Source organism: Homo sapiens, chromosome 3 (genome assembly GCF_000001405.40).
Source record: "Homo sapiens chromosome 3, GRCh38.p14 Primary Assembly".
Classification (NCBI taxonomy): Eukaryota; Metazoa; Chordata; class Mammalia; order Primates; family Hominidae; genus Homo; species Homo sapiens.
In genome coordinates, this window is record NC_000003.12 from 181,715,415 (window position 1) to 181,734,773 (window position 19,359).

Below are 19,359 nucleotides of genomic sequence, written 5' to 3' on the forward strand. Positions count from 1 at the left end.
TGGATTTGTTGTGTGGTGGTTTTTTTTTTTTTTTTTTTTTTTTTTTTTTTTTTTTTTTTTTTTTTTTTTGCCCTAGGAAAGGTAAAGAAAGGCTATAGTTGTCCTCAGTGGGAGTGGAAAAGTTGAGACATCGCCATGGTCTTTGAATTAGCGATGCTTCTGCATCACCACCCACCCTTGCTTTGGGGCAGCCGGATAATCTGTTACCTAGTCAGGGACTTTTCTACTTTATTTACTACTTGATTCGCTCGTCTTCCCCCACCCACGGGGACCAGGAACCAACAATCGGGCACTTTTAAGAGCACGGGTTTGCTTCCCACAATTTCAAGAGCTTGTGTCAACTTGCTACAACTTTGGAGAAGTTGGAATCCGGCAGCGTCTTCCACCCTTGAGTAAAGTACCCGCTGCAGCCACTAAGTTAGCTCATCCCGTTGGTTTGCATCTTCTCATTTCCAAGAAAGTATTTCTTTCTCATGGTGTTGCTAATGTTAGTTCTGGGCTGAACTGAGGATATCTCATATTTTCTGTACTTTCTATTTTTTTCTAGATTGCTTTGTTTTAGATATGTACTGGTTTTTATTTATTACTTTTTTAATCCTCATTTTTAGGATAACATTGTACTGGGAAGGGACAATTATTATTCCAGTTCCCAATTCTAAGCAAGGCATTTTCCCCCCTAATTAATGCAGAGACTCTAAAAGAATTTCCCCTAGCCTGGCCAGCCATTGTAATGCATATACGGATTATTCACGTGGTAATGAGCACATTCGCCAGTTCTTGCTCACACATACGAATAAAAGAAACTTTGAATAAAGATCCAAATGATCATCCTGGGGGAGTGGGGAGGATATTCCCGGAATTTGAGGCAGTCAAATATATAGATTATATATATTTTGAAAATAGAAATATATTAGAAATATGTATAGAGGTTTACAGTAATTGCACTGCACTCACCTCTCATTTTTTAAAAAAAAGCCCACAGGGTCAGCAACTTTCTGGCAAAATGGTCAGGTTCAAATATTTAGCAAAAGGAAAGGGAGCACAATATTTTGGGAAGTAGAACTAGCTTTGAATAATTGTCACTATCTGCATAAAACAAGAGAACTCCCGTTCCCCCTTCTACCCCTTCATATCGCCGAGCCAAATAGTTGAAAAATGAAAGTCAAAATATTTTGTTTGCAAATATAAATGCTTTTGATAACTACATCTGAGGGAAATGATATATATCTTGTACGATCATTCATTTGATTAAATTAAATGGTTACCTGAGATATGTAATTTCATGGCTAGATTAATATCGAACATATAATATTTTAATAATAATGTGATTTTCAAGGAGAGTAAACCCATAAACTTGCCCAGAGATGGTTATCTCATGGTGCTGAAGATAGTTGTTGTTTAGTTCTTTTCCTCGGGATATTATTCTGCTCAATGAAACCACTCAATTTCCAGTCAAATAGGGTGAATTTAAATGTTTTGTTAACTATATACACAGAATAGAAATGTGCAAAAGGATGAGAGTACAGTCTGTTCTTTCTGAAATTTTTTTCTCTCCCCAAACCACCCACCCCCCCCCCACCACATACTTTAAATAAAGAGCGTTAAAATATTTTGCTGAGCTGTAGTAGATTAGCAAGGTTTCTTGCCAATGCTGGGAAGCTGGTATTACAGACCATCCCAGGGGAAAATGGCTCACATTAACCACTAAATGAATATTTGACAAGGGCTCATTCGGAGGTATTATTGCTATAAACGTGTCCCTACTGGACTTTTCAAGGGTCAAAGAGCAATGCTTCAATTAATTATTTAGACTGCTAGTAGATTTGGTGGTAATAGCTGTACTTATTTCTAGAAATCGACACATTCTTACAGTAGGAAAATCTCAGGAGAATCTTCTCCATCAGCAATACCTTGGATTGAAATACACACGGAGCCCTGGCATTCTAAAGCTGACTTTTTCATAAAACCTTTCCCTGGGCTGGTGGGGGGTGGGGGGCACAGAATTATAGTCTCTTTTTCTGTTTCACTGGCTGTTTTTTTCGGTTTAAAAGAAAAAAAACAGAATACAGTAATTTATCTTAATATCCTCATCATGTGTGGCAAGGTCTTTTAGGGATTTGCAATATGGGGCAAAAGGGGAGGGTGCTCATTTACAACCTTTGCCTTTTCTAAGTAGAGATGTCACAGGATTTCAGAGACTCAGAGAGGCCCTGAATTTAGACAGGATACACATTCCTGTTTGCCAATAAAATGCAAGTTTGAAAGTGGAAGGTTCCATAAGCTGAGTACCCTTAGTTCTAGTAGTCTCGAGTAAATTGGGGTACAAGGTAGTTCCTCCTTCTCTCCCCACCTATTGGTCTGAACACTGCAAGGTGCAGTAGGGGGGCCAGTGTTCCATTTCTGCCATGTCATAGGTTCCTCTGTGGCCCTAGGTAAAATGGTAAGGGAATGATTTTGAGGGTAAGATTCCTCGACAATAATATAAATTGAATGAATAAGAGATAAGCTGCAATGGTGGGGGGGGTGGCGGTGGGAACAGTAATTACAAACCCAATTCATTCAGCTTTTCAGAACTTTTGTTGTGGGAGCTCCATTGACGGGTTTTGAGCTGCCAGTTTTCTCACATTAAAAAGAACTGATCAGCGCCTCAGGGGGACAAGAAATACCGCTTAACTGCATAGTGATGGGGTCTTCATTTAGAACCATTACAAGATGAAAATTAAACAGTGCCTTTGTGTGCATGAGGTTTACTTTTCAACTGCTAACAGTTTATAGCTAACTGCTCTGAGATTGAAGTTTGACTATGGTTTGATCGCCTGCTGATTGACGCTGCTCATTTATTTATTTATTTATTTATCTGTTATAATTAAGAGAACTTTTCATCACCTCACCCCAGTTTCATTTATTGATCTTGGAGAATTTTGAAAAACAGATCCTCATATTTTTCTTTGTGGAAGGAGTTTCCTTTGCCATGAGCTTTAGCAGAGACTTCAGTTCACATTCCCCAACGGACAACCCCCACCCCACACACCCACATTATTCCCTTAAAATAATTTGCATCTCATTCTCTGTTTTTTTTTTCTGCTGCATTTTCTTGCTCTCCAAGCTAGAGTTGCTTTTCGGGCAGCAAGTAGGGTTGGAGATAGGGGTTAATTTATTTTTTTGCTTTGCTTTCTTTTTGTGACCTAAATTGGAAGAGGGCTGGATGGATTTCCTAAGGACTTCACCTATGAGGTGAATCCCTCAAAGAAGGAAGAAGGGGGAGAAACTCTGACCTTTACTGTGAAAATATGGATACAGTCCAAAAGGACATAGTTTCCGGAGTTCTAGAGTAAGAAAAGCTGTGGAAGGAGCTTCCCAAAGACAGGAAAGTTGCCCAAACCAGATAATTAGTTTAGTGTCTTTCATAGTTATTTTCTATTAAAACTTTTCTGGAAACCCGACATCTGTTACCACCAAGAGACACTTGTAACCTCCTCTCTCCCTGCTAACAGTGCTGTCCAGTTTTATGATTCTTGTTTTCAGTTTGTCTATTTTGCTTCTGTGGCCTTTAGAAAATAATGGACTTGACTTTCTTATTTTGACTAAGGGGATTTCTCTTTGGAAGGGTGGAGTATTAAGATAAGTCTAAGATTCTTGTCTGTGGCAGAAAGCTCTCTTTCTCTATTCGGAGTTCAGATGGATTTTATTTTATACTTTGGTATAATGGTGATATTTCTGATTCCTTGAGCACTTTGCTCAGTTTCTCTCCTAAAGCAAATAGAATGTCTTCTCATTTCGGGATGCAAAGATATTTGCTTCACCTAGGCGTTTGAACTTGAGATGCTTGTTCTACTCTGCAAAGAAGTGTCAGGTGATTTGAAAGCTGGAGGTGTCCTTCGTTTTATTACCCTAGTCTGCCTGCGTGTACAGAATGAAGGGTGCACTGTTTTATATAGAGTTCGGCGCTTTGAACTATCATTTGCCTAGCTCTCCCAGCTTCCGCGCGGGCCACGGCTCCGGGCTGTGAGCGCGCCGGCCTCCCGCCGGCTGCCCTGGGGAGCGCGCAGTGCCCAGTGCTGAGAGCCGACGCGCGGGCAAATTGAGGCCGAGCTGACGAGCTCCGGCGGGTGGACCTGACGTCACCGCGGCCCGGGTCACCTCACCCATGGGGCTCCCCAAGAAGGTGCTGTGTGGGGCTCGAGTTCTCTCTGCCCGGGCTCTGCTCAAACGGTCGCATTCCCTCTCCCTCAGGCACCGACCCGCGTCAGACAAGTCTAGAAAGTCTCCCGAGGCGTTGGGGCCCTCACCACTCCAGAGTCCTCTGCCTCCTGCGCCCCAGCCCAAGCCCTCTCCATGTTGACCTCGTGACACGGGAGACGGTGTCTAGGCCCCAGATTCCCACCCACATCAGAGATTGTCTACCCAAGGGGATGTTTGTCCCTGTTTGTGGCCAAATCTCAGTATTAGTGATCTCGCTCGGTTCTTCCCGATTAGAGGCCGAGGATTGGCAGGGCTGGGGGAAGCCCCCGGAGCAATCTGGGATCCCTGGAATATTGGGCCCCTCTGGATTAGAGCAGGTAGGGATGGGAAGATACAGACCCTTCACTTTCCCACTTGTGAGATAGGGATAATATATAGTTACCTCGAAGAAGATGAATACAGAGTGCCTGACAAAACAGGCTTAATTGATAAGCATGACTTTACTTACTGCCCAGCAGAATTAGGGAAGGGAAGCAGTTCTCACGTTAGACTACAGAGAACAATACAGAAACCCCGGTCCTTTCTGGCCTTCCTGGCTCTGGACAGTGAAATTAGTCTTGTTCATACCACCCTTCTTACTTTTCCAGTGCTCTCTCTGACTTAAGATTTGCCTAGGAAGTTATCTTGCAAACTTGCCATCCCTGGGCATCGTCCTGAAGGGAGGGATCCCGGCATTCCGGGCAGGACCCGCCCCCACCCGCAGAAGGCAGAAAAATAATTACTGTATTAAATAAGGAGCGGTGAATTCTTCCCAAGGGTTCTTATCGCTGGCGGCCAGGCCAGAAGCGGGACTGCGCCCCCACCCCCACCTCGTGACGTCAGGGCCTGCAGGGCTCCGGGGATGAAATGATTCGTTTGAGTGTTCCAGAAAGGGCAATCCGAACGCTTACAGGGCGAGGCCAGTGCAGCCCAGCTCCATCACCACTACCAAGCCCCAGTTTGGGAGGCTCCCGAGGCCCCTGGCCGCCCCCCAGACCCCGTCTCCAGAACATAACCACATATACAAGTAACCATAATCCTAAGTACGTATATAGTCACGCGCACAACTCTCGTCACAGGACCGCCCTTCTTCCAAATATATATATGTTATTTAGTTTGTTAGCCACAATTTGTTGTGGGATCTGAATGAGTTGTTTCTGTTGTGTTTGTATGTTTTTGTTTTTAGACGGTCGACAAATTACGACAAATGCCTTTACAAAGCACACCATAGCTTTATTTAACCCGGTGCAAGTTTCAGCGGCGATTTAAGAAATGGACTTAGAAGAGTTTTCTGGCTCTCATATCCAGCCATGGTTAGGACAATTGCTCCAGGCTTACCATTGCTGCACTAGTTCTATTTTCTCTTTCCCCTCTATTCCTAAGAATTTGTATAGCTTTTAAAAATCTTTTTAGAGTCATGTATTGCTGAGAGAATTTCTTAGAACTGTGATTTAAATTGTAGATAAGAGGAAAGATTATCTGGTCAGTGGAATGTGTGTAAGTGGCATAGAAGTATTTGTTAGGGAAAAGCACCTGGGCATTTCTGGATTTCTGGGAGATGCACTTCTCAAGTTTTCTTTCCAACTCTCAAATCAATTTGATTTATTGAATGCCCTTCCAATGGAAAGGATCCTGGAAAGCAGGCCTTATGTTCTGATATTGGTCCAGGATCTCACAGAGTAACGATTAGCCAATATTTTGCATGCAGTCAGTTTAGTATCAGCTCACATCCAGGTCGATTTTATCACACTTAACAGCTCAAATCGGGGTTATTGCATAATATTAGAGTTTAATCAGTCTGGAATACTAAATGGCAAACCTGTCTTCTCCTTCTCAAGGCCCTCCTCCCTTTCTCTATTTCTCCTTCCTCCCACCTCCAAGGAAACTATCTTAAAATCAAGTTTCCCTTTGAGAGTTTGTTTACCCCAACTTCTGTTAAACTAGACTAACACGCTCTCATCAGCTTTCTAAACACTGTCTCATCAGCTTTGTGAAATGGTGCAAAAACATCTTGGAATCCAAGATGGCAAAATAAACTTGAGCATATGGGGGGAAGACTGCCTTGTTAAGAAATTGATTTAAATGTTTAGCTTACACTTCAGCATCAATGCTTCCCTTACTACCCACTCTTACTTCCCTCACTGCCCACTCCTGGTTCTTGGGTACCCCACCTCTATTAGCAAGCTGGTTCCCCCAGCATAAATTATGAATGCATATCAACAGGCTCATCTGCTGTGATAAATCAGAGGCTTTTCTCTTTTGCACATTTCTGCTTTTATTCTCATCGAAATGTCTTTCTGCCCCATGCTAGCAGTGTCTTTCTACAAACTTACTATCCCCGTATAAACTATGGAGATATATTCTCAATTGGAAAAATCAGGTAATTTCAACCGTTCCCCCCACCCCCAGGAAGCCTTACAAGTTAAGGATACAAAATATTTCATGGTTAGTTGTATGAGCTTCCAAATTAGCTGCATATAAAGTATTTAAGATTTTTTTTTTTTTTTTTGGCTGTCACTGGCTGGCAATACTCATTTTGTGTGTGTGTGTGTGTTGGTTTGAAAAGCAGGAAGAAATGTAATGAATTGAGTGCTGTCAGAGATGTCTTCTGTTTGAACAATCTGCGATGGGCTGAATGGCAGGGACTCCCTCATCCAGTGCAGGTGCAGTAGAGCTGGGGAAGGGGGGAGGGGGGCTCCCTCTGTTCAGTCAAAAAGCACCATTCTCCACAATAGACCACACACTGACAGCCAGCGTGACATCAACTCACACTTTCATACTTTTCCCCCCATCCATAGTTCTGAGTTCACAAAGTGGCCATACAGTAGCCTTGGTTAGGTTCCTTTAATGAACATTTTGCGGCTCCTATGACCAACATTGAAATCCGCAGAGCCCTGGGAGGAACAAATAGATTTTTAATCGTGAGTTCCAAACCAGAATGTATAGCTATAGATATTAAAAGTAAGCTGGTCTCCACATCCTCTCCCAATGCCAATGCCCACAGCAACCCCAGATGATGTGAAAACTCTGAGTTAAAAGTTCTTCTAAGACTTATTAGGTTCCAAGACACTGTTTTCCATGTCCTGAGAGAGATCAAACAGGAAAGGAGAGAAGGCACAAATTTTATGTATTTATTTAAAGGTAAGAGCACCTCTAGTATTTTATTATGCTTCATGAGATGGTTAATCCTACAAATTAACAAACATTAATCTTGTGGAGTGGAGTTCTGCCCCCTTTTGAATTGGTTTTACTGGGAAGAGGGGTGTGGAGGAAAACAAGAGGGTTAGGAAAGGCAGCAACTGTTTTAAAACTCTGAACAAAGATGCGACCACCTTTTGGCTGTCCTGCTGCTGCAAGGACTGGACCTTCCAAGAGTTCGTTTTACATTTGTTGAAGCCCAGGCCTTGGTGCCTCAAGTTTTAAATGGAATTACTCAAGGGGGGCACACTACTAGACAAACTATTCTAGCCAATTCCTTCATCCCCGACCCAGTCCCTACTCCTCTCTGCCCCCGCCCACTTCGCCACTTCTTAGTCCCGGATCTGAACATTTTAGCTGAAAGAGGGAGGGGTGAGGAAAGGGCCAGGACAGTTCCCTCAGTGCCACCACTGCGGGCAAGGACAGTTCCCTCAGTGCCACCACTGCGCCTGGAGAGATCCCCGCGGCCCTGCCGCTGGCTGATTCTCCCCTGTGCCTTGACTTGCTGAAACATCTCTCTGGGGAAAATTACTCCCTACTTGCTTACATGTGTGTATTAAAAAACACATGTAGCCATACACATGTTTCATCACGGCAACAAAAAATATCAACATTCTAGCCCCAGGAGCAAAACGTATCAATCATTCGCCTAAATATTGTTCAGTAGATGGGGGCGGGAATAGGTAGACCTCCTAGGAGAGCGGTCACAAGTCCCCTCTCCTCCGCATGGACACCAGGAATGCGGGGTCTGGCGGTGCTGGGCGCAGGGCGAGAAGATTTGATGTGCAGGGTAAGTAAAGGACAAGTTATTTAAAACCTCAACACAGGAAAAGATGGTAAGAGTGCTGTGTAGCCCTTTGCTTGCTTGTGACTACGAGTCGCTAGGTGGCCCGCGTTTAGAGTATGCCTACGGCGCCTACTAACGTCTAGACCTAGGAGAGGCGTCTCCCGCCCCTCGACCCACAGCCAGCCGCCACTTGATAGCTAACGCGTCTTCCGGCCGGTACACACCCACAATTAATCTTTCTTATTAAAGCCTCCATTCTGTACCCATGGGGCGACTCAAACCTATTTAGATTTCCGTGGTTGGCTGCACAAATTTAAGTGGGCAACGAGTTATAAACCTAATAACAGAGGACGAGAGAGGGTGATTTGAGTAGAGAAGACGCAAGATTCACTAGGGTCGTGAAGATGCTGCGGGCCTTGCCCACCACGGCATCTACCTCGGGGTGCACGCCAGGCTCTGAGAAAGGTAGTGAACCTCACAATCACACTCACCACACACAACATGCGTACACACACTTGCACTCCTACCCCCTTTGCTCACAGGTACACTTGTGTGGAAATTGCCTCTTCCGTAGTTCTTATAAACTCCTCCCAGACAGGCAGAATTCTCAGAGCATCGGAACCAGGGAACTTGCAGGGAACCAGGGAAGGTTTGCACTGTTTGGGATTAATTGAGAATAATTAACACTGGAGCCGTTAATCACCACTTTGCTGCTCTCTCCCTCCTTTCGGGTCTGCGGCGTCTGCCTTTTTCGCTCCCGCTGCCGGCGCGGGTGTACTGGTGAAAGTGAAGACGTCGCGGTAGCTGTCACCCAGTTCGGCTGTACTTTTTTAAACGCTCGCATATTGTTTGATTACTAATTCGAGTTAATATGATCTTTATGGCAACATAACAGTGGATAATTGGCCTTTTTTTCTGAACAACAATGTAAATCACAATCGCTTTATTATTTAATAACGTCAAACGCTTCGTTGGATTGGCCCCGACCGAGAAGACCTTTTCTTTCTAGACAGTGTTGTGGAGGAAGAACAATGAAGATCTAATTGTGGAGATTTCATAAGTTGGCTCCCGTAAATGAACAGCTTAGATATGGAAGTTCCAGCAGATGTGGGTACTATTCGCCTCTACAAGCTCTACCCCCCACCCCCATATACGCAGTCCAAACACTCTATTGGAGGGTTTTTTTTTTTTTTTTTTTTTTGTGGTGGTGGTGGTCCTCAGATCCTAGCAACCACCTAAAGTTTCCAGTAGTAATTAGAGCTTTTATCGGGCTTGCTCTTCAGCCCTTTATATTGCCGATTTAGCGTTAAGGCATTAAGTCCACACACCAAATTAGCGCGACTCCCAAATAGCCACAACCACTTATTCTCCCCTTCCCTCATTTTGGTGGTTGGACACCAAGAGCATGGGCCTGGGACTTTTTTTTTTTTTTTTTTTTTTGGTTTTACTTTGTTTTGATTTGATTTTTAAAACCTATTCGCTACCGCACTGTCTTGGAATATACTTGTTTCAGGCAGAGTTTTGCAAGGGACCTGAGCCATTATTTTGCAAACGCCTGGAAGAGCACATGAAACTCAGAGAACTACAATGCAGACGACAACGCCTAGAAGGAATGGGTCCCCGCTGCTCGAATGAAAGATTAATTACATTTGCCCCAAAAGCCCCAATTCTAACGGTCTCTATCGCGGCTTTTGCCGTCACTGAAGGACCGCTGTCTCTGGGGTCTTCAGACATCGGAGTCCTTTGCAAATGAAGAGCCCCCACCATTTGGAATTCGGGTCAAGGAGAAAGACTCTGAGCCTGCAGCAGTTTTTGTTTTTGCGTGTGCCCGCCTCTCCATTTTATTCAACTTCTTCTGCCTGTCGGGAAGCAGAACAATCGCTCCCCACCCACCCCCCTCCGCCCCGTTTCTAAGATAAACAGGAGGTGCAAAATGCTTTGCCTGCACACGCGCCCTCGTGGCCCAGTCTTCCTGCAACCCCCAGCGCACCGGCCATGCATCTGTCTCCCAACCAGACGTGGGAGAAGACATCCCCCCTTCACTCTTCCCACCTGCATTTAAAAACCATCACATTGACTGCTCTAGAGTCAGGTTCACATTTTTGGCCCTCCATGCCACCTTCCAGTTTCTTCCCGGTCCACTCTCTTTCTCAGGACCTAAAAAGTGACGGGGAGAGGGTGAAGAATTGGAGAAAGCAGCGGATTTTCAAAACGTATCCCCCCCGCCCCCCCATCTTTTAAAGTAGTATGTTACCACAAGGAGTGCATTTGGGAAACTTTCCCTAACAGGAGCTGGGCGCAGTGTTATTCTTCTCCATGGGTCTGCTGGCCTCCCCGCCCCCGCTGGACAATGCGTGCTTTGAGACTCGGTGGCCTGCAGGCAGCGGGAGACGAGGGGACTGGGCAGCCTTCCTCCAAGGGGCCCGCAGCTGGGGGAGCGCCAGGCAGGGAGCAGGGACAAGGAGGCGAGCCACGCAGGAAGGAAAACCATAAAAGTGCCATTTTTTCCCTTAGCCCTGCACAGAGGCAGGCTTTGAGGACCTAGGGGCAGGGCAGCTGGGGCGGGGTGGGGTGGGGGTGTTGAGAGGTTTTGCGTGTTCTTTTTACCCCCTTTCCCCCCACTGAAACATTTTATTTCGGCACATAATTATGCACTGCAGATTCTCCAGCCTCCTCGCCCTCAATCTTGGTAACCTGGTCTTTGGTTAATAATATCGCAACTCGGGACTTCAACGCTCAGACCCCCTCCAGGCCCCAGCCTCCGTATTCTCGGAGCCCTCCACTACTGATACCTCTCGCGGAGTGCGGCGCCCCGGGAAAAGCCTCTTGGCCAGGGACTCTGGGACATTACTTTCTAGTTTGTTTTGTTTTTTGTTTTTCTCCCAGAGACCACCACCACCCTCATCCTCTTCAGGCAGCATTTAGGAGAGGACCTCTGAGATCAGCAGAAGGCCTCAGACGGTCACCATATTGGTGGAAGCGTTTGTCTGATGTTTTAAAACGTATACCAAACGGGGCGTCAGGGCCACGTGCTGTGCCTTCGAAACGCCGCCGCGGGCCCTGCCTTTCAGAGCTGCGGCAGCCGGGGCTGGCGTGGAGGGGGCGCTGAAACACCGGCGGGCGTCAGGGGCCAGCGCTGAGCTGCAGATCTGGCCGCAGCGCTGAGTGAAGCGAATTATCTGGAGCGTGTTTGATCTGGGACTGCGTAGTCAGCTTCTGCTTTATTTGTTTGTTTGTAATCTCATATTTAGCAAGCCGGGACGGTGGCAGCAAGGGAGAAAGGACGGGATGGAGGAGGGGGCTTCGCGGTAACCACACCCCTTCCTAATGAGTTAATTTCCATATTTGCGCCTCCCGCATCTAGCGCCCTCTTTTTTTTTTTTTTTTTTTTTTTTTTTTTGCCTGACGCCACTGTGCTGTTGCGTCTTGCGCAGCGCAGACACCTCCACTCTGGATTGAAACGAAAAAGCTCGCGGTAAGAGCAGAAAATTGGTCTATTGATACATTCGCTCCGAGTGTTGATCTTGGCATCACCGATAGCCGGTTAATTCCCCCACCCCGCCCCCGCCAGTGGGTCGCACGCGGATTGCCGAGGGCTTGCAGGCACTCAGGCAGACGCAGACAGAAACCCACATCGACCCCCCCCCTTTCCCCGCCTCCAGCTGTCCGACCCTCAAGTCTCTTTCTTTTTCTTTTTTACCCAACTCCGGATTATTTTCCCCCTCAAGGTGAGGGCAGTGAGAGCAGCGAGGGCACAGTCCGCACAAAAAGGGGGAAAATAATCGCAAACCAAGGAACCAAAAGTGAAAGTTTCAAACTAGATACCAACCCTGATGGAGGTTGGGTGCTGACCCGACTGTGGGTACTTAAGAGAAGGAAGGAGGGAAACTGAGGTGGTGAGATTATGTCCACAGTATGGGTCGGTTAAAAGTTGTAGTAAAGAAGTTTTGGGAGGGCCCTCACTAGAAACTCAAGGCGGGTTTCAGCTGATTTAACCTGGTTTCCTACACATTTTTGCGGTGATTCTGCTCTGGAAATTGGCGAAAGAGACAGACCTTTGCAATTGCTCACCCCTCCCTGCCCCCAACCACCCTGCTTACTTTCGCGAAGCGCATTAGGATGTGGGCTCTGGCTTGAGCTCCAAAATAGCTTGCTTGTCAATTGCGAGCTGCAGCAATATCAAAGTGAACTGTCCCAAGTAACTCTTGTCTAGAAGCTGGGAAGAAGCTTAAGCAGCTCGCTTTAATGATGATTTGTAGCTCGGCGAGGGGCACGGACAGCAAACACCCCGCAGGTGTGTGCCGTAACACCATCATCCGGACTTGAATGTAGATTACTCTGGCGATCGTTTGATCGGCCCTTTGAAACCCTTTACAATTGCCTGTGACGAACGGCCAGTCTCAGTTTTTCTCTGAATAATCCCTGAGGGTAAGTCCTCCGGGCTTTTAAAGAGCTCTAGTATTTTTTTTTTAAAGAATAAAAAGAAAAACGTTCGATTTTAGTTTAGACCTCGTCAACTTTTAGTCGCTAACAGGCATCACTCAAGCCAGTCAATACTTAATGACCGTTAGTTACCCTTGCTGTCTTCCTAGAAACCATATACATATGTGTGTATATATGTATGTGTGTGTGTATGTACCTACATACATACTTTGTGTTTATAAAAAGGAGAACAATGTTATTAATTTCATTTTCTTTAGTTTCATACCTCCTTGCCTGTTTATAGAGGTGTGTGGGGGTGTTTATTGTAAACATGCATTATTATTATTAATGCCATTGTTAATCTTGTCTTAATGCCTTCTCTGTTCTCTCTGAATTATACCTACTCAGTGGGAGTTAACGTAAAGGTTAAAGCTTTACAAAGTAAAACTAGAGTTTAACCCCCCTCAGCACCTTCACACCAACCGCTGTCACCAAAATGAAAATGTAGTGCTGTTCAACCTTTAATATTTACTTAGAGTATTTACATAAGGGGAGGGAAATGAACTTTTGTCTGAAACATACAACAAGCGGCACTTTGATTTTATAAAATAAATGTCAACAATTGCTAGGGCTTATCAAACTGGGGTAGGGAGTGGGGTGGAAGTGCAGTTGGATTAAAGGCCCATTCCTGCCACTTCAGACTACAAAGGGTTACACATAATAAGTGCCGAATTTGCCTATTGCAAAAGTTTTCTTGGTGCTTTCTAAGTCACAACAGGGGAGGGGGAAAGCTGTCGTTTATTATCCAGTTCTGGGCAGGAGCAGACCCCAGTACCAAGGGGCTCTTAGCTTTGCCCGGCAGAAGAGGGGTAGCCTTTCAACAGCAGCCCCCTTTGTTCTCCTGATCTCTTTCCCAATTTCAAGCTTCACTTGCACATCCCAAGTTTGTGTGTTAATGACGCTATTACCATCTGGCTCGCCCTACTTTCCAAAAGATATAAATCTCCCAGCTCCATTGCCCGCATTATCATTTAAGTGCCACCATAGCCAGAAGAAAAAGATGCTTTCAAGACTCCAGATTCTCTTGCACTTACTACCCCTGGCATGGCTCTTCCACTATATTTATAGACTATACGTTGGGGGTGGGAGTGCTCCTTGAGAGACCTGATTTCCCAAGAGCTGTCCCTCCAAGCCAAAGAAAACATGCTTTTGGGTGAAAAGAAAGGCATCAAATGAATTTTCCCTGAAAACATTTTTGTTTTGTTTGCAGCAAGCCGAATAGTATGTGCCAACATACTTTTACGTGCTTGTGGCTTCCTTTCTCTCGCAGGTTTGTAAAAGTTTTGGTGCAACTCCCCGACATTCAAGATGTGCCACTCTTCAACCCTATTTTGAGCGGGAGAATAGATTTGTTTCTCTATAGGAGTGGGGGCAGGGGTGAAGGGAGATAAAAAGAGCCCTGTGAAGCAACTTTTGGGAGCTGGGCATCCCTTCTAAACCCTCACTTTTATTAGTGCCTGCATAGATGTGTAGGTGTTGTATGATTTACACACTTCTGGTTGTAGATCTAGATCCACCTCTCTCCTTCGATTCTTTCCTGGGCAAAGTAATCAGTGATTTGCGTGTTTTGAGCACAAAAGCTGAGAAAATACGACAAAAGGAGTGGGGCTGGCTTGTGCATGGCTCCACAATGACTCCATTTAACTGGCCAGGTCCGAGTGAATAGAGGAGAGCAGAGTCTGCCTCTAAACGCGTGGGCTTTTGGTTCAGGCCCCTCGCTGATTTGAACAGCTAATTTCCCCTTTGCGGGTTTCTGAACTGTTTGTGCTCTTGGTCCGTCATATGTGGGTGCATCTTTCTCCGTGTGATGCCTGCTCTTCTTCCCACTGTTATCTTCACAGAGGCAAGTTCCACTAAGATAAGCCAACCCAACAGGTTGGAAGAAGAATTGGAAATATGAACCTCCCAGGATCTTAAGGGAAGCTCTTAAAATCAACAGGATTTGAGCAGCAATACCCCTGCCCCCTTAAAAAAAAATGTCAAACAGAGAAAGCATCTTTAAGGAAAAATATATTCTTTTTGAGGAATAACAAAATCACTTATTATATATTCCTAATACTTTGTATGAACTGAGCACAGAAGGTGTCCACAACAGTGATTAATTTATATCACACTCATGTAGCTGTCTGCATGCAAAAGCCACATTTTTCTTTCTAGTTCACTTTCCTGCTTTTTTCCCCCAAACTCAAACAAGATCTTGTTTAGAAATGTGTATCCCTACTTTTTCCTCTTGAGAACATTATCAAGTTGATATGAACAAATTGCAGAGGATATACCATTTAAGTAAGATGCACTTTTAATCACTGATCATTAAAATGGTTATGTTAAATATACTCAATTACATGCATGACTTAACTCTAACAGTACTTTCTATTCTCCCAGCTGCTCACGTATTCCTTAACGATAGTCTGTGGTAGAAACTTGATTATGCTGAATCCATACATTTCGATGGATTTCATCAGCCTAATTAATGCCTCAGTGTGGTCCTGGGGTCTGAATGAACCCTTTACTATCGTTTGAGGTTAAAGGCAGTGGTGGAATGTAGAAGGATTTTTTTTTCCTTAGTTACTCCCGGGGTACTTAGGGATTCCATTAAGCAAGGTGGATAGCAGTTGTTAAACAGACTATGTGGAACAAGAAAACCCATCCAAATGGCAGAAAAGTGAGGCTAATTCTTCATTCTTATTTCACACCAACACTTTCGGATTCCATAGACAATCTCCAAATATTTAGTAAAGTGGAAATTACCATCTTCCGTTGTATCTTAAAACTTCACTGAGAAGGAAGAGTTGAAAATAGATTTACAACTGATGGCTAAATTCATTTTGTTTTATTCATCAAGGCTGTCCCTGCTCCTTCTCTTCCTGTTCCCATAACTTTCAGACTACTTGCCCCCTCAATTTCAACTTTCATCTTTCACAAGGAAGCACTCATGGCTGTTATTCAGCAGAAACTCAAGTCACCCCCAATGGGGTGACTACATTTTGTCTTTTCAGGTGTAAATTAACATCTGAATACATCTCAATCTTACTGACCCCTACCACCACCACCAATCCTGCCTCAGCAGAGTTGCGGCTAATCTGTACCTCCACAAATGGCAGGGTAGATAGAAGTCAAATTTCCCAAACTCCATCCCCCAGCAGGAAGACCAAAAGTGCTTGTATTGCCTATGAGATAAATCCTGATATTTGCACATGTCTAATGAAACACCTGTGGAAGAATACCTTTCAAGACATGTTTCCTTGGTGGTCAAGAAGAAATAAAAAGAGGAAGAAAAAAAAAGAGATGAAGGTATCTTGATTCTTTAAGAAATGTTCCAACTCTGACTTTGAGTCCCTAAGGACAAACTGTTCACCCAGCAGAACTTCCTTCATGCAAGAGATCCACTGACCCAGCCCTTAGTTGCAGAAGGGCAATACCATACGTCCATAGAAATCTGATGGAACTGGAAGGATTTTAGACCTATAACCAAATTACTACCTTGGAACTTTGTGCTTGTTATGCTAATGTAATGATTTCTGTAGTAAGGGTATATTGTAAGGTTGCAAATTACGTTTTTATAATGCTTTGTGTAATGACAGACGTTACATAGAAGAGACACATGTGCCAGGATTGGTGGCATAGTACTTTTTTTTTTTTTTTTTTTTTGAGATGGAGTTTTGCTCTTGTTGCCCAGGCTGGAGTGCAATGGTGCGGTCTCGGCTCACTGCAACCTCCGCCTCCCGAGTTCAAGCGATTCTCCTGCCTCATCCTCCCAAGTAGCTGGGATTACAGGCACCTGCCACCATACCTGGCTAATTTTTTTGTATTTTTAGTAGAGACGGGGTTTCACCATGTTGGCTAGGCTGGTCTTGGACTCCTGACCTCAGGTGATTCTCCAGCCTCGGCCTCCCAAAATGCTGGGATTACAGGCATGAGCCACCGCACCTGGCCAGTGGCACAGTACTGACAAACACTGGAGGACATTTAAATAGATAAATGTAGACCTAGATATGTTTCTAAAATTAAGCTGAGAATGAGCTCACGGAACTAGGTAACAAAGCAGATGCTGCTGGCCAGACCATTGCAAGGGTTAAGATGGTCTTGCAGCACCCACCTTTTCACTCAGATCTAGTGGAGTAGCAGCACAGCACATTGCTCAATCCTTTGGGATAGATTCCTAGGGAAGAAAAAAAGAGACTGTTTCATAAATAGTACTGCAAGCAAGCAGTTATCTCCAGCTCATGGTTTCTGTAGTGTTAAGGTTAGATTGCAGAGGGTCAGAGAAAGCAATATTTCCTGTTGGGGGTAGAGGAGAGAGAAAGTGAGTGCAAGTATGAAGTATGTAAAGAAATAAACCTTTTTTTTTTTTTTTTTTTGAGGCGGAGTCTCGCTCTGTTGCCTAGGCTGGAGTGCAGTGGCACAATCTTGGCTCACCACAACCTCCACCTCCCAAGTTCAAGGGATTCTCCTGCCTCAGGCTCCTGAGTAGCTGAGATGACAAGCTCCCACCACCATGCTCAGCTAATTTGTTTGTATTTTGTATTTTTATTTTTATTATTATTATTATTTTTTGAGACAGAGTCTCGTTCTGCCGGCCAGGCTAGAGTACAGTGGCATGATCTCGGCTCACTGCAACCTCCGTTTCCCGGGCTTACGCAATTCTCCTGCCTCAGCCTCCCGAGTAGCTGGGATTACAGGCATGTGCCACCACGCCCAGCTAATTTTTGTATTTTTAGTAGAGACGGGGTTTCACCATGTTGGCCAGGCTGGTCTCGAACTCCTGACCTCAGGTAATCCACCCGCCTCGGCCTCCCAAAGTGCTGGGATTACAGGCGTGAGCCACTGCACCTGGCCTAATTTTTTTTGTATTTTTAGTAGAAACGGGTTTTCACTATGTTGGCTAGGCTGGTCTCGAACTCCTGACCTCGTGATCTGCCCACCTCGGCCTCCCAAAGTGCTGGGATTACAGGTGTGAGCCACCACGCCTGGCCTGACCCTAAAATATTAGAGCCATATATGCTGGGGTTGTCAGTACATCCCTTACATTCAGTGCTTCATGTCTCTGTGCTATGTGATTAAGAATGCAGGCAAATCATCAAACTTGCAGTATTGACCTTATGTGATTTGTATCTTGGAAATCAAGGACAAGATAGCTTAATACAGCACATTTACAAAAATTAAATACAACTCTTCAGTGTTTAAGACTGGGCTGGGGTTTAATCATTTCCCTTAATTGTAAACAAGGCAAATTCACACACTGATCAAGCATCCAAGAAATGAACGTGTTTTCATCAGTCACCTCTCCTTGATAGATAATCAGAGGTCAGCCACTCCCAGCCCGGATATTATGTGCCTAGTTCTTACCTTCTCTGTTCCACCTCCACAATTGACAGCTGCCTCAGAAATAAATAACTTGGTTCCTGGATAGGTTTGGGGCTCTTTGGCGTGACATAATTTCCAAATGTCAACTTACAGCTATGGAGAAGCCTGCGGACTACGATAATGGATAAACTCTCCTGTGTTAACAGGAGAGTTTGGAGCTAGAATAAGGTTGCCAAAAAATAGCCTCAGTGGGTTGGGAGCTTCTAAGATCTTGAGAAATGAAGCCAATTTGAAATGTTGGCTTTTTATATTAGTCCAAGTTGTCCCATTTTCTTCTAGAGTTGAATAAAAGCAAAATACCTGGCCTGATGCAGTGCTTCCCTGATGACAGTTGAACTAATTAGAGGTGGTGTTTCTTGGTTCAGCCCAAAGATCCTACTGATGGTAGACGTAGGAGATGCAGCCTCCAACAGCTTTAGTTTTAGACAAGTTTTACACAGCCCAAGCGCGGTGGCTCACGCCTGTAATCCCAGCACTTTGGGAGGCCAAGGCGGGTGGATCACGAGGTCAGGAGTTCAAGGTCAGCCTGGCCAATGTGGTGAAACCCCGTCTCTACTAAAAAATAAAAAACTTAGCCGGGCGTGTTGGTGGGCGCCTGTAATCCCAGCTACTCAGGAGGCTGAGGCAGAAGAATCACTTGAAACCAGAAGGCGGAGGTTGCAGTGAGCCGAGATCGTGCCACTGCACTGTAGCCTGGGTGAAAAAGCAAAACTCCGCCTCAAAAAGAAAAACAAAAAAAAAAGTTTTACACATCCATGCTTTGAAGTTATAAACTGAATCTGTGTCACTTAGGTTGCTATCATCTGATTCCCCTCTAGTGCATTTCTTTGTATAGATGAGCCCATGCAGGCAAAGTGTAACTAACTGTAATATTTAATACATAAACTCTCTGACAGAGCAAATTGATAAATCAGAATATTTTTACATTTGGTGTGTACATGATTCATAGTATGACAAGGTCATAAGCATTTTTAGCAAGGTTCTTCTGAACTAAATTAAGATATTTACTACATAATCTAATCTACCAAGTGGGGTAGATTTTAGGGTAGGGCCACCCAGTGACACCTTAAAAAATGCCCTCGGTGAAATGACTCATTAGTTTAAGAGTAGCTGAGTAGTGTATTATAGATAAAAATGGAGAGGATACAGATATGGATACATCTTCCTCATGCTCTCTTGTGATATGGCAACATATGTGTGTGGCAGATTGTAGAGACAATGCTGAGAGTTCAGCAAGAAACAGTGGCATTGAGGCAGAGAAATGGCTTGCTGTCATTTTATGGGTTCACGTTATTTATTATCAGATG

General features: G+C 44.7%; 1 long non-coding RNA gene across 6 annotated transcripts in view, besides 5 other annotated features; it reads left to right on the top strand.

Annotated features, from left to right (window-relative positions):
- Nucleotides 1-19,359, top strand: part of SOX2-OT (SOX2 overlapping transcript) — a 685,549-nt gene that overhangs the window by 658,735 nt on the left and 7,455 nt on the right. The gene's annotated exons all lie outside the window — the stretch shown is intronic.
- Nucleotides 15-995: an enhancer, noted in NCBI's record as "OCT4-NANOG-H3K27ac hESC enhancer chr3:181433217-181434197 (GRCh37/hg19 assembly coordinates)". NCBI's record gives its function as "activates a minimal SCP1, AML or CMV promoter by ChIP-STARR-seq in primed H9 embryonic stem cells {active_cell/tissue: H9 hESC(primed)}" and the evidence as "EXISTENCE:reporter gene assay evidence [ECO:0000049][PMID:30033119]".
- Nucleotides 643-834: an enhancer, noted in NCBI's record as "SRR2 fragment used in the Sp-SII and SI-Sp-SII reporter constructs". NCBI's record gives its function as "activates the -789 to +253 SOX2 promoter by reporter assays in PA-1 teratoma cells {active_cell/tissue: PA-1}" and the evidence as "EXISTENCE:reporter gene assay evidence [ECO:0000049][PMID:23796710]".
- Nucleotides 725-730: a transcriptional cis regulatory region, noted in NCBI's record as "HMG binding site bases mutated in the Sp-SII HM reporter construct". NCBI's record gives its function as "important for activity of the -789 to +253 SOX2 promoter in PA-1 teratoma cells {active_cell/tissue: PA-1}" and the evidence as "EXISTENCE:site-directed mutagenesis evidence [ECO:0005528][PMID:23796710]".
- Nucleotides 736-739: a transcriptional cis regulatory region, noted in NCBI's record as "POU binding site bases mutated in the Sp-SII PM reporter construct". NCBI's record gives its function as "important for activity of the -789 to +253 SOX2 promoter in PA-1 teratoma cells {active_cell/tissue: PA-1}" and the evidence as "EXISTENCE:site-directed mutagenesis evidence [ECO:0005528][PMID:23796710]".
- Nucleotides 12,174-12,912: an enhancer, noted in NCBI's record as "OCT4-NANOG-H3K27ac hESC enhancer chr3:181445376-181446114 (GRCh37/hg19 assembly coordinates)". NCBI's record gives its function as "activates a minimal SCP1, AML or CMV promoter by ChIP-STARR-seq in naive H9 embryonic stem cells {active_cell/tissue: H9 hESC(naive)}" and the evidence as "EXISTENCE:reporter gene assay evidence [ECO:0000049][PMID:30033119]".